Consider the following 15568-nt stretch of genomic DNA (forward strand, 5'->3'; position numbering starts at 1 on the left):
CACATAGGTCCTTCACAGGTCATTTTTGCACCACTCAACAATATTACATCATCATTTCTTGTTCCATTATAATTGACAGTATCTACTGATTTCTTATCATGAAGATAATGGAATCCATGTTCCTACACTTCTTCCACATTCGTCCTCCCTTCATCTATTCTGTTCTTGGTAAGGTTGGAAATGTATACATTCTGTTCAGTAATTATAGTAAAGCATTTTGTACTTTGCCTACAAGATGATTCTAAAAATTTAAAATAAGGATAATTCATATTATTTAAACAGGATATAACAGTATTTTCCATCTCAATGTCTTTGTTCTACTTGGGAGATTTGCTTAATTTACTATTACAATATGTCTATTAATTTTTCAAAATTTGAGAAATTTTGGATTTCTAAGAGTCTTCTTTTGTCTTTGTACTTTTTTCATGGTACCCTCTTTTTGGCTTATGGTTGCAATATCTTCTCAACGTTCTCTTTGAAGACCAATTGGAAGTACTTTTGTTCTCTCTCTCTTACTCTCACTCTCTCCCCCTTTACTTCTATTTTATCTTCAGTCACTTTTGTCTATTGCCTTTATTGTGCATGTTTCAGCTTTTTCTCAAATCTCATCATTGGGGGCATTAAGAAACTGACCATAAGCCCTGTGTATGTGAATATGACTTGTTGAAGGGGAAGGAATAAATTATGGAAGAGATGATAGGAAACCAGAGATTATGCATTGGGACTCCTAAATACCAGAATGACGAGAGATTTGCTCCATGTTGCTCATTCCTTCACTGACTGCCCTACCTCTTCACAGATAATTTATTCAACATATCCAGAGGACACTCCTTTCCCAACCCCCAGGGGAAAGGATACATATATCTCACTTCAGAGTGCTCTGCCTGGGTAGATGAGAGAAAGAGTGTTGACAATTCCATCTATAGGCTTTCAATTAACCCTTCTCTTTTCAAGCCTATGCTTTGAATCTGTCCTCCATCATATTTGTTCTCTTACAGATTGCAATCCACTTAACTAGTATCCTTGGTTATGGCCTTCTCCGTCTTTCTCCAACAGTCTTCAGACTCATCTGTCTGTTTTTTTGTCTTATAAAAATTTTATGAAATGTCTTGATTACAGATGATTTCACTCTCGTTCTCTTTGTTGCTGTTGGGTTATATCTATCTGTTCCTTTAGTAACAGTATGATGGTGTCCCAAAAGAGAGAGGAGATAAACGCTGATGCCATATTGAGATATAAGCCCCTGCTACAATTTCGTCTAAGAAATTTTCTGGACTGTAAGTTCAGAACAATTAGAGGCTATCAATATCCTAGCAAGAGGCATACAATACAAGAGTTAATAGGTACATAGGTTTCATATAGCATCAGGCTACCAAGTATTACCCTAGAAGAGGAAGGAGGATATAACTTTTGATTGAGAGTGACAAGAGATCTGTTGCTTTTGAAAGGTGGTGGATTGTGATTCAGACATTCACAGTCACAAATTCTATTCAATTGATGCATTCAGAAAAGCAATAGCTGACAATTATGATGTATGTTGCACAGCAAAAATAGGTGGTCAGAGGTAAAGTGATGTTTTTAATAACAAAATAACAGATTCTAGTATTTTTAATAGATTGTAAGACAAAGAAAATGCACTAGTATATACTGACTGAGACTTTGAAATGCTGAGAAACATCAAAGTTGCCTAAAAAGATAATTAGGGACCCCAAAACGTGCACAGTTATTATAGTGGATCTTCTAATAGCCCTTTAAAAGTTAAATACTCTCACATCAAGATAAGATCATTTCCTTCAGGATGTAGGCTGCTGCTATTTACAAAAGGCAAAGCATATTCCAAGTGAGCAGACTAGCACTTTGTTTTGACTATTAACTTCTATAGGACACTCATTGATGCCAGCTATCATTTTCTAAGTGTTCACTTTATGCCACTACTGTACTAGATACTTTACATATATTACTAGGTATCTAGTATAACATATGCCTTTCCAATATATCTTAATAATTTTTAACTACTTATTAATGCTATATATTATTTATTAATATAAATCATTATACATCCAGTGAACAATCTTATTCTTTCAGATACATCACTTAATAAATCCAGTGGTCAAAATCTAGAGAGAGCAGTATTTAGTTGTCTGCACAAATGAAGTTTTGTAAGGTAAAAGTAGATTTTGTCAAGTGCCTCTTCCTATGAGACCTCAGATATGCATAGAGTGTTTTACACAGGTTTTATGCACTATATCATTTTTAAAATAGGGAAGAACATTTTAGCATTACAAGTTGTAGGAATTATAAGACGGAATTTTAAAAATTAAGTGAACAAATGCTTAGAAAAATGAATGATTTGTAAAGCAATGTCTTCATATTTCATTATTGACATAGGAACTGATAAGGCACAGTTTTCATATGATGTATGTTGCAGGCTTGGCAATGCGATCCCCAGGTAAACCTTCTGGAGACAGTGAAAGTCACACTCAAATATGTTTAGATTTGAACTCTTCACAAAACCCTGTGAAATAGATAAAACTACTTGTTAAGCAGGAAGGAAAACAGAAGCCCAGAAAAGTCACTTTGCCAAGCACATCAATGCTGGTTCAATGGTAGAGTCAGGATTCAAATCAAGATCTAGTACTACAGTATCTCCAGCTTCTTTCACTACCTTGCCTTCATTCTCCAAACAGCAGGCAGTCTCAGACCATTTGCCTCTTTGAGAGGCCCCTCACTTTATTTAAGAACTGAAAGGTAAGAAAAAAAAACCTTACTTTTATGATTGACCCTGCAAAGGTATTCTTTATATGCTCACCTGGTGGGTCATATAATTCACTTCCACATTAGTTCCCTTCACTTGGATTCCATGTGACATAAGAAAGACAGGCCAGTGCAGTAGTCATGATGTTCAGAGAAAATTATTCATCAAAATATTGAATTATGATTGCTATGAGACCTGCCTGTCAGCGTAATATTTTAAAAACCATCTAATTTGAGCATAAGTATAGACATGAAGTAATTATTCACCATCAGCTCAGCTGAAAGGGTGGCCATTTCCTTTTGAAATTTGCATCTGAAAACCCCAAAGTTTGAGCTGTCAGGGCACATCATTGCCTTGCCACAGAGATGTTCTTCTGTTGCCATTTCTTTGAGCATCACTCTATTTCTCTGATCTTTGTTTTTCTTTCTTCCAGCACATTCTTGACAATGTGAAGGTCTGTGCACTCCAATTCAGGTAGAATACCCCAGTTCTGTCTCAGCAATGCTCTAGTCTCCTGTTGACACTATTGAGGTGCTTACAGTCTATCACCATAATGCCGGTGTGGTTCTGAGTCTCTTTGGCCAAAGCAGAATTTTGCAACATGTTCCTTGTGCTGGGATGCCTGAAACTTTCTCCCCATTAAGGCACATCATCCTCTCTCCTCTATCACTTTTAAGCTACACCTTGACATAGAGTTATGTCTTCTTAAAATACCTTAATTTCAGTAGTTTTTTCGCCATTCATTTTTGGCCCCTGGAAAGCCAGCCGATGGTCTTGAAAGAAAATTTCTTAGATTTAAATAGATATACTTTTGTGTAAGTAACAATTTAAACCAGTTAGAATGAAGTGCCTAAAGTTTTCTTCACACGGAATTAAGCTCTCAATAAATGTTAGTTTGTTTATCTCCTACCTGGTTTAGATACTGTGCTGGCTATTTGTGTGTGTGTTGCTGTTGTTTTTGGTTTATAACTGCTCAGAACTCAGATTGAATTCTATAAGAATGTGCTGCTTACCTGGATTTCTAGCTTGATCCAGGTGTTTTGTATATATTTATATCTTTTTATAGATACCTATAAGTCTGTATCTATCTGTAGATACCTATTTATCTATCTATATATCTACATATATGTATATATATGTCATATGCATTAAGTGAATTTCTCTTATATCTAATGAAGTATTTAATAAATGCTCTTTCATGGTGATTTGAGTCTCAGATTCATCTTCATAGAGGATTTGGTGATAATCTGTAGAAAGCATAATTCTACAGATTATGCTAGTAATCTGTACTACTAGCCCTTGTGCCAGTCTGGTCCAGGTCATCCTCAGAAGATGGTCTGACCTAGGATTTTTGCTTCATGCTTCAGGGCTCATCCAACTAATTTCTGAATGTTATTAGCTTTTCCTTACATATGTGACCAAAATATAATCTTTGGGTAGTGTACTTTTCCCATGAATATCTGTAGATACATAATTGGTTTTTAATAGCATTTATGTAATAGAGTGGCTAAGTGTACTGAGTGAGTTATAATATGTAAAATACCCGAAGAAGTTCTGTACATCTAATAAGGACCATGTCTGCATTTGGACTGTGAAGTCAGACCTCTTACATTCTAGTTCCAGCTCTGCCACTTCCTAGCTGTGCTATCCATAACAATAGAACTACTTCACAAGGTATTGTGAGATTAAATGTAGTAAAGTATTAAAATGCTTCAAATAATGCCCAGCAACAAAAAGCCAGATACGTTAGCAGTATTTTATCAGTAGCGTTAAAATCACTATTCTTAATGAAAGCTTTGCATTTATCTATAGTGTTTGAGTATGATTCCCCTCCCTGATCTTTCATTCCACCCTGACCTCCGGGCTCTCCTGTTAAAGGCCCTCTAACTTTACTCAGGTTGGCTCAGCAAATGCTTTCTAGCTGCCCATTCTTGGCCTTACCTGCCCACGCATGTGTCATGTGATAAGACATCTCTTTTCCTTCATTTCTTTTCTACTGCATCCAAGAACTTCACTTAAAAAAAAAAAAGAAAAAGAAACTTTTTCTTGCTTCCCAAACCTGTTTTTACACAAAAAAGCTTACTTTTGCCCCAAGTACCCCAACAGATGAGCTCATATACTTTCACATGTGACATTATCTCCCCGGACACTGATGAGAGACAGTGAGGAGGGTGGAAGGCAGGTGGATGATATTCTTTGAAAAATGCTGGCTCCAGCTTTATTGCTGAACTGTGGAGCCCATCTCTTATTTTAGGTAGTCTTTAGCTTTTGCTTTAGCCTTACATTTTTTCTGCACTGATTAGCATTCATTGCGACCTGCAACTATTCAAGGGTGGGTGTTTTAAAACTCTCTTGCAGAAAGATAGTTCTTGGAGTTCAAGGAGACAGTGGCTTCCTGATTGTACAGCATAAGAAACTTCCTCTGTAATATCATTAAATACCCTGCCGGCATTACTCTTAGGTCAACTCCTGCACAACATAGTATGAGTTACACTTTCAAGTGTTACCACACTCAATTCTTACAACAGCCATACGTAATATTATTCCTGCTTAATAGATAAATGGAGGGGCACCGTGGCGATTCCTCAAGGATCTAGAACTAGAAATACCATTTGACCCAGCCATCCCATTACTGGGTATATACCCAAAGGATTATAAATCATGCTGCTATAAAGACACATGCACACGTATGTTTCTTCACAATAGCAAAGACTTGGAACCAACCCAAATGTCCATCAATGATAGACTGGATTAAGAAAATGTGGCACATATACAGCCATAAAAAAGGATGAGTTCATGTCTTTTGTAGGGACATGGATGAAGCTGGAAACCATCATTCTTAGCAAACTATCACAAGGACAAAAAACCAAACACTGCATGTTCTCACTCATAGGTGGGAATTGAACAATGAGAACACTTGGACACAGTAAGGGGAACATTATGCACTGGGGCCTGTTGTGGGGTGGGGGGATGGGGGAGGGATAGCATTAGGAGATATACCTAATGTAAATGATGAGTTATTGGGTGCAGCACACCAATATGGCACATGTATACATATGTAACAAACCTGCACATTGTGCACATGTACCCTAGAACTTAAAGTATAAAAAAAAAAGAAAGAAATGGAGGGGCACATTAGAACATCTGTGCAGTCACCACTCTACTCTAGCTGCCTGAAGGCACTGGCCTCTTTACCAGTGTTGGAGACAGTAGAAATATCTCCTTTCCATGACCCCTTACAGACCAACTAAATGGTCAAAATGCTCACCTTCAGCTTCTGGGAAAATACCCCTGTAATCAGCAGCTTGGGAAGAGGCCCAGAACATAGTCATTTTAAAAGTTTCACTTATAAGGAGTTGCTAAGACACGTAATATTAATATCTGTTTTGTTCTCACAGTTACAAGAGAGTTGGAAAATAAATGAGGGTTATTTTTCTCTTTTTTTTTTGTTTTTAACTTTCACAGAGTGACCAAGCTGAGAGTGCCAGAAGTTGGGCATTTTGTGCCCTCAGGGGGAAATTACCACTTTTATGTTTTTGAAAATATAAATTCACTGAGGGAATGGATTGCCTAAAAGGGAATAGGTCTCAGAACACCAGAAAAAGGAGATGTGGTTTGACCCAGAAAGGAGAGAACCGGATTTCCTCACTCCTATTCAAGGTTGGCTACCTTCTAGATACTCCAGGTGGGCATGTTCACATAAATACTTGAAAAAAATCTCTCCACTGCATCCCAGCCAGGGCAAAATGTCCCATGCCCAAGCTTAGCAAGACGTAGGGAGAAACACTTGCCTTCAGAGAGCCTAGAGTGTGTGTATGTATTTATGTGTGAATGTGTGTGTTTGTGTATGAATGTGTGTACCCTGGCTAACAAGCATCTCAAAGACAGTCATGATGGTTTGAAGAAAAGAGTCCTCTTTCACCAATTTAAAGATTGGATATACCCTCTGGCTCTACTGAATAACTCCCTAGAGAGAAGGAGAACTCCCTAAATATAAGAGGATTTCAGAAGGTTCATGGAGAATGTAATTAAAAGATAAAAACCAAAAATGTAAACTTTATTTCTCAACATAAGCTTCATCAATTCAAGACGCTTTTAGAAGCGATGATATCAGTCCATCCCTAAAGAATTGAGGGTCATGGGAATTTCACCATGTCAATAAAGTCTTTTTCACATTATTAACTGCAGAAAAATGGGTGCCTTTTACGGATTCTTTTAGGATTAGAAAACAAAAACAGAAGGTACCAAATCAGGACTGTAAGGGGGATGCTTAATTATTTCTTACTGAGACTCTCACAAAATTGTCCTTGTTTGATGAGAGGAATGAGCAGGAACATTGTCATGGTGGAGAAGGTTTTCCCAGGCATTTTTCTGCTAAATCTTTGGCTAACTTCCTCAAAACACTCTCACAATAAACAGATGTTATTGTTCTTTGGCCCTCCAGAAAGTCAACAAGCAAAATACCTTGAGCATCCCACAGAACTGTTGCCGTAACCTTTGCTCTTGACTGGATCACTTCCATCTGTTGGTAGCCATTACTTTGATTGTGCTTTGTCTTCAGGATTGTTCTAGTAAAGTCACATTTCATCTCCTGTTACAATTCTTTGAAGAAATGGTTAAGAATCTTGATCCCACTTGTTTAAAATTTCCATTGAAAGCTCTGCTCTTTTTATGAAGCTAATCTTGGTGGAATGGTTTTGGCATTAATCAAGTGGAAATTTTGCTCAACTTAAATTTTCCAGTCAGAATTGTGCACACTGAATGAATTGAAATGTCTGTGGTGTTGGCTATTGTTTGTGCTATTTATTGTTGGTCCTCTTCAATTAGGGCACAAACAAGATGCATTTTTTTCTCACAAACTGATGTAGATGGTTTGTCACTGAGGGCTTTATCTTCACCATTGCCTTGTTCTTTGTTAAAACGTCATATCCCTTTGTAATCTGATTTCTTTGGATCATTGTCCTCATAAACTGTGAAGCACCAACAATTTCACCATTCTTCCACCCAAGCTTCCTTATAAACTTGATGTTTACCTCTGCTTTAATTTTAGCAGAATTAATGTTGCTATGATAGGGTCTCTTTCAAAGTGATTTCTTATCCTTCATAGTGCTTCAAACTAAATCCTATTTAGACATGTTATAACAAGTTAGTATGAGTTTATTTTGGTGCAAAAAAATTTGAAATTCATAAATAGTTGTGTCATAATTTTCCATAAACTTTTACAAAGAACATTTGCATGTCTAAGATTCAATTTATTAACTCTCTGATTAGTGAGGGGCTTAGCACAAGAGTAAATTTGATTTAGAACAAATGAAGCAAGGTAACATCTGTTTTATCCCTATTATCCCTTAGACATCTATTTTATCCCTGATATCCCTTAGACATCTATCAATAAAACTTAGCTACTATAACTTGATTTTAGTATTGTATACAGATCCCAATTTAGTTCTGGATGGAATTGAGGGCTGAAAAACTGGAAAATGAAGGAAGAATAGAAGAAATGTTAAGTAAAGTAGTTGGAAAGAAGGAGAGGGATTTAAAATGTTTGGTTAAGGGAGGAAGAGAAGGCTTCATTACAGACTGTGAATTGTGGGTACACCTGTGCAAGGGGGTGACTGTGTGCAATATATGTGTGGGAGTGACTAGACATATTTACAATAGGTGAGAGAAGAAATGGGAAAGGCAATAGGCTTAGCACTATTTTCTAATTTTGGAGCTGCTTGAGAATTTCTGTGGTTGTTGTGGGACAGTTATCTGAATAGCCTTGGACTGACCCACTTCCTTTTCCTTTCTCATTTATAGTTCTCAAGAAAAACTGTAGAATGTGCTGGGAATGCAATGTCTCAATATAAAGAGAAATTGGCTGAAAACACCCTGGGCTTTGTTTCTGTCCTTCCCAGAACAAGACATTTTACACACTGTAGCTCAGCGTGTCACATAATCCTGGGGTATATAACTCAGAGTGGGCTACTTTTCAGGGTCCCTCAGCTGAAGTATGATATGTGGAATGCACAGACAAGATTCCCTCTGCCCCGTGTAGTTTTCCTGAGCCTTGGAAAACTGGCTTGTCTTAAATCATTGGCTTCTACTGTCCCTTGTTGCCTACCTGTGAGTAATAAAGTTATTTCACTCAACTCGTTTTGTGAGTATTCCATCTCACTCATGAAACAGGTAGAAATTACTACCCAAGATGAATGGGCTGAAGGGATAACCAGTGCAACATGAACCTGCTTTGCAGTTGCTTAGGGCCTGACTTTCAAAGTTGTTCATGATCTTAGTTTTTGAGAGACATGACAACTATGCATGCTCATTGACCAACAGCACTGTGCTGCAGCTTTACCAATATCTCTGGGCTCTTGAGGCATAAGAAACAAAGCCAAAGATAACATCTTATTGAGAAGCTGAGTTGACCTTCTTTGGGTTGCATCCCTAATTTACACTTTCTTCCTTGGGAACTGCCCCGAGTCATAGCCGTTGCTGAAGGGATGGGTCTGAGTAGCTGCTTCTTCTGTTTCCCCCTCCTGTCACAATCTATCAGAATAGAGATCAACTCAGTTTGCCAGAGACAAGCCGTATTGTTTGTCTTGCAAGTCTGATGTTAAAGACTCTGAGTGTGTACTCATAGGAAGATGCATGCTTACATGCAGCTACCATGTAGTAATAGGGCTGGGACAGGGTATATTTTCAGCCACATGCTTTCCTGATTAATAAGAAGAGCCCTCAAAGTGACACAGGAGAGGAAAGGAGACAAGAAAAGAGAAGCAGGGAAGAGAGACCAATTGGCTTCAGAGGGAAAGACAGAGAGAAGCAGAGCAGTTGCCTTGGTCACACGACATTTGTGTTCCTAAGTCATCAAAGACCTTTCCTTGCACTTTCCCCATATCCTTCCAATCTCCCTGCTTTATTTGAGCTTAGTTTAAATGAGTGTCTATTCTTTGCAGTCCGCAATTTCTGATAAAGAAGAGAAGCTATCATTTAATGAGGGGGCTTTATAAAAAGGAGATTAACAAAAATGGCTGTCCCTGTCCCAGCCCTCTATAAGAATACAGAAAAAGAACACTTATGAGAGGACCCTCTAATCCTAGGGAAAATAAATGTTTATTAAGCCAAATTTCCGTGTCTGCCATTGTGCTTTACAAATGATTTTTCATTTAATTCTCACAACAATCCTGCAAGGTATGTAATTATTTATCCCCATTTTACAGATAAAGGCAGAGACCCAGAAAAGTCAAGTAATCTTTCACTTTACATGAAAGACCCAGGAATCAAAATCAGATCCTTTTATTCCTTCTAACATACTCTTTCATCTGAATTCATGTAAACTGGGATTTTGAAATTTTTCTTTCCCCATGGTACTGCTTTAAAATTTCACACAGTTTGTTAGCCTTGATAAGTAAAGTACTTTTAGTATTTGTGTCAGCATTGGCCTTTGTGTCCTCACATTTGCTATTTTTGAACTTAGAAATGTTATTCCTGATTCTCTGGGAACTTATGAAAAATTTTTACCTGTGCTTCTACTCTGGGACTTTCAGACTCTGAAGAACTTCTGAAACTGTTGAGAAAGTGTTGTTGAAACCAAAGGGATTCAGAGGATGCTAAAGGAATCTGGATAAATTTAAGAAGAATGCAGGGTAATTATTCTGAAGAGCCCAATAATTCCTGCTAGTGTACTGTTAGCTTAGTAATTTGTGGGAGCCACCTGGTTGGCCGTGATTGTATAATGTAAGAAATTACTGGAAGAATGTTAAGACATTACTTATGAGACTTAAAATTTAGAGGGAAAAAAATATCTTGGAATCTGCCCTGAGGAAGTTCTGAATGGATTCCAGGCACACCATACTGTTCTTTACTGATTGATGTTCTGTTTAGTTAAATCCTGCTGTTTTGCAGTTTCAGTGCCATCCTATAACTTCATAGAAATTCCCTGAGGCAAAATTAGCATCTGTCTCCTATTCCTCATCACCTTAAAGAATTAGTGCTAAGGACTGTGAGAAAATGTTTTAGGAAATTATGAGATGCTTAAATCTGCCCATCAATCAAAACCTTTTCTAATTCCTAAAGAATATTTTAGGATATTTTCAATAAAATTGCAGGTGGCACTTAAACTAATTCAGATAAAATTATAGTACTTAAAATCTATATTGTACATGCTTTTAACCCCTGAAGGATGCTGAACATCTAGGATATCTATGGATTTTGAAATGTATTTTTCAAGGAGAGAATTTGAATTTGAGCTCCTTTGCATGAATGCAAACTCAAAAGTCTGGCTGTTATGAGTTTTGATCATACAACATGAATGGGGAGACCTACTTATTAAAGATAACTGTATGGGATTCCATTAAGGGATGCTCATGAAATGTAGATTTTCAGTTTATTGTAAACCATCCAACAGTTTTTGAGCAGGAACCCCCGTGAGAGAGATCCACTTTCCCATCAGATTTCCATTAAGATCCATTTGCCAGAGCCGCTGTTTGTTACTCTGCTCTTGGAATGTCTTGAGAATCAATCATTCAGTTTTATTTGCCTGAATGTCATGTGATTATAAAAACACATGGTCAAAGGTTTGCGATCAGTCAATCATAACAAACGCTCCTTATATTTGTTTTTGTGTAGCTGTGCATTTCAGTTATTGGAGCAAAACTTGTTGATGCTTGCTTCAGTGGGAGGTGTAAGGACCAAAAATTGGCTTTGTTTGTAATAACTGCAGGCTTTGTCATGATTATTTTTTGCAAGTTTCTTCTAGGGTCATAATCACTTCCATGCTATGTTGTAGTATTAAACTCTCAAAGTTAATGCCATGTAGGTACTGTCACAGACTAAGAGCTGAATGTGCTAGTCTCTCATTCCTAATAATGCTCCAACTCTTCTTCTCTGGGATATAATTAAATAGGAATGGGAATTCTGAAAAAGATTTAAACACTGACATGAAATGTTTGAAAATTGCAACTGGCATTCCTTTTGCAAGAGTCCTAAGACCCACTGGCCTCTGAGACTGAAGACCGAAAGTTTTATCCATTTCTCTTTTTCTGGTTTTATAACTAAAATTGATTCAAACATTTGCCAAATATAATTCAGACTTTCTGGTTACAGGCCAAGTGTTCACACTAAGCATTATGAATTTGCAATGAATTCATAACATTTAGTATTCATGGTAATAACACTGATCATTATGAAAAGATTTAATATTCATGAGGGTTACACTGCTATTTTCTCAGGTGCCATGATAATTTTTAATAATAGTTCAGCATTTCTTAATGGGCAGTTGGCATAATAGAGTGTGATCCAAGAGTCTTGGTTAAAGGATATTAGAAGAAAGAAAGCAGGGCATTAATACAAATTTTAAAACTTGATCTTCCATGAAAACATTTGATCAGTATTATTCTATATTATTAAAAAAAGCTGTCTCTGTTAAATGCCTCTGAAATGTCAAACAAATCTCTCCATTGCGTATTCAAGCTGATGACTGGCACAGTTCACAGTTTAAAAGGGGAGGGAAAACAAAAATATCTGCAAGACCATTTTTCTGAGGGAAAAAGTACTTTTAGTATTTGTTTCAGTGTTGGCCTTTGTGTCCTTAAATTTGCTTTTTACCAGCGCATACACTTCAGAGTATTTTTTTTTCCAGCACGCCATCTGTTTCTTTGCAATTGGGGATGGTTGAATAATTTCCTGAGGAATTGCTGACAAGATGTGTCCCAGGAACAGTAATCCAGCAGGACTAGATTTCTCATTAAAATCGCTAAGCTCAGCTGTGTTATAGCAAGCTCTTGATTTAAGGTGGTCACCCTGGGCCAGCGAAGGTCAGCGGCCACCAGCTACCCATTTTTTTCTAAATATAAGACTGTAACATCTATGTATATACACTGCAAATGATGCCAAGTACAGGATCATTTAGGTTGGAAAGTGTCACTCATCCCAAAGGGATTTTCTTGGGGTCACCTTGGTAGCAGTGATCATCCTCGTTTACCTTCACATAGTACTGCCTCTCATCCCCTGAGGTGAGTGATTTATGGGTGAACATCTCCCACTCATTACACCATTTTAGCTTACACTACTCTACTGCCCCTTTCTTCCCCAGTCCACAGATAAACTGGGATGCATATGTGCTTTTCTGGAACTTTCCATGGTTCTTTTAGCAGAGCCTGACCCTTTTCCCGCGTTGCTCTTGAACTGCTGGCTGATGGCAGGAGGCATCTAGAATTAGCAAGATTCTTAAGCAGGGCAGATTGGAATATGAACTTTAGCTATGTTATCTCACTTAATGTCCATAGCAACCCCATGACTTAGATATTATTATTTTTCTCTTTTTACAGATAAGAAAACTGAGTCTTGGGGCATTTAATAACTTGCCCCCAAACACACAGCTATTTAGTAACAAACCAGGAGTTTGTAACATCTTGCCAGCTTTCATTACCACCTCCAGAGCATGTAGTCTTATAATTCTATATTTCTAGAGTAGTGTGTCCCAGAATGTTGTCAACTGATCACCAAAATCAGATGCAGCAGGAATGACTGTTAAAAATAAAATCCCTGCTCCACACTTCAGACACACTGAATCAGAATCTCTGGGTTGGTGGGTGCCTGGAGTTCTTAACAAGCTCCCCTGGTAATTCTGTTGCACACTAAAATATGAGAACCACTGTCCTACGGAATAATAAATGTTATTTAATTAATTGGTTCATTAAATATTGAACAGTTAAAGTCATTATAAAGCTAAGAGTTGAGCTGGGTGAAATTAAAAGTAAAACTATAAAGCTATGGTGGAGGTGGGGGTGGGGTTGAGGCCCAGAAAAGAGAACCAGGGAGGGACCCTCTTCTGTGGAATAAATCATAGCAAGGTTTTGCCATCAGATTTTGGTACTCAGTAACAATGATGGCCTTAAATGGAATGAATCCTGCTTTACTACCTTGTTTTGCAAGTTTCAGTTGACCCAGTTGTAGGTGGACCCAACCACTCTGCCTGCACTTTTGCTATGGTCTCTCACTTCTCTGGAAGAAAACAGAAAAAGAGGCAGCTTTATGTTTGTACGGACTGTGCTCTGCCTAAGGAGGTCCCCATTTCAGTGAAAGATTCATCATGTCATGTTTCTTCTTACTTTCTCCATAAAAACTTGACTAAATTTGGATGGACACCTCTAAAGAGACACCATGAGTTTCATTTTCCAGCCAGCCATTTTGAGGTAAAAAAAGTTGTTTAGTTTTTATATTATACAATGTCTTGGATTGAACTTGATAAGGTTTGCAAAAGAGAATTGCTGTTGAACTCATCAGTTCTTGATAACAGATTTGAACTGGCTTATGAAAGGAAGAGGAGTATTTGTTTTAAGGGTATAGAGTCGTCACAAGGAGCCCAACAGCGTGAATGCTGACAGGCAGTAGAATGCATTTAGAAACATGAACAGCAGTTCCCAGAACTTTCTCCCTGTCTCAAAGGATTGCTCCATCTCTCTGCATTACTCTTTGCTATTTCTTAGGCTGGTGGAAGGTAGCCACATCACAGGTGCCCATTTCACATCTCCTCTATTTAAAACAAAAGCTCAGATTGTTTCTTAGATCCCACTTCAATTATGGGGGTAAAAAGATCTAATTATTTAGCCTGGGGCAAGTCTCTTGGCCAAGTGGATGCCTGTAGCAGGCAGAGAACCTAGGATGTGGGTGAGGGTCGTACAACTGGCAGGGGAGGAAAAGATTCCTACCTTCCCAGTAAAGAGGGATGGGGAAGATGGTCCAAAAGTTGATCCTTTAAGAAATGAACCAGAACATACCTTGTCAACGCCCTGAATCTTGTTTTCTCTTTGGGTGGGAGACAGGTGAGGTATAGAATTGGAAAAGGAATGCAAGAAACACAGCTTTCCATAGAAAAACCAGAATTTTGCAAATCCTCTGAAATTTGACCTCAGCTTTCTTCTTTGCTCTTGAGGTATCTTCTCCTGAGGGTGACAGTCATCCATCCCGGAGAAAAAATACACAAACAAAAACCATGTTAGTTATTTGAGGTATGGGTTTTATATGTAATGCATCTTGCAATTAAATCCTAATGACATAATATTATGTGCATAACTTTTTATGCATGACTTAATGTCATCATCTTGAAGTAATATTCATCATAAGTATGGGAAGGGTAGTAATGTTTCCAATTTGACATTTAATCAGGTGGTGAAAGTCCACACCTATTTCATCTATAATGACATCTTAACTAGGGATCTTTATGAAGTATTTGTATAACAGAGAAGAAATGACATTTGATGGCAACTTCTCTCAGTCATTTCCATAAATCTTAGCGGCCAATTCTCTTTATAGAACAAAGATGAAAACCAATGTTGTATCATTCCGACAATCCCAGCTGCTGGTCTGAAAATACCAGGACTGATGTATTCCTCAATTGAAGGGAGAAGCAGTGTATTCTAGGATAGTTTTGATGTCTTCAATTAGTAAGTATTTATTGCCTATGGCACAGGTTAAAAAGTGGCGACCTGTGGGCTGGACTTGTCCTGCAAATGTGTGTGCATATGTATATGTATACGTGTCAGGGGCAGGACTATATTTATATCTGTATAGAGAGAGTCTAAAAATGTCTAATTGGTTGCCAACATTTAAAAGTTAGAATATTTCACATAAAAATCCAGATTTCAAGCTTTACTTGAAAAATCAGGAGATGTGGCAGCACTAAGTTTACATATTTACAAGGTAATATTGGTTAGAAATCTGGAGTAGGAAGGGCCCTTTAGACGAAGCACATACTCCCAGTTTGCTACTATTCCCACCACTCCCTACCATTTGTACTTTTGACCAATTATATTCATTTGCATTTGC

General features: G+C 37.6%; 1 long non-coding RNA gene across 1 annotated transcript; it reads left to right on the forward strand.

Annotated features, from left to right (window-relative positions):
- The first annotated feature begins 10275 nt into the window (after positions 1-10275).
- LOC105378323 (uncharacterized) lies at positions 10276-15198 on the forward strand. The gene is made up of 3 exons (XR_945997.2): positions 10276-10386; positions 13897-13935; positions 15056-15198. It is a non-coding gene; the product is annotated as an uncharacterized LOC105378323 (long non-coding RNA).
- Positions 15199-15568: the final 370 nt, after the last annotated feature.

Source organism: Homo sapiens, chromosome 10 (genome assembly GCF_000001405.40).
Source record: "Homo sapiens chromosome 10, GRCh38.p14 Primary Assembly".
Taxonomy (NCBI): domain Eukaryota; kingdom Metazoa; phylum Chordata; class Mammalia; order Primates; family Hominidae; genus Homo; species Homo sapiens.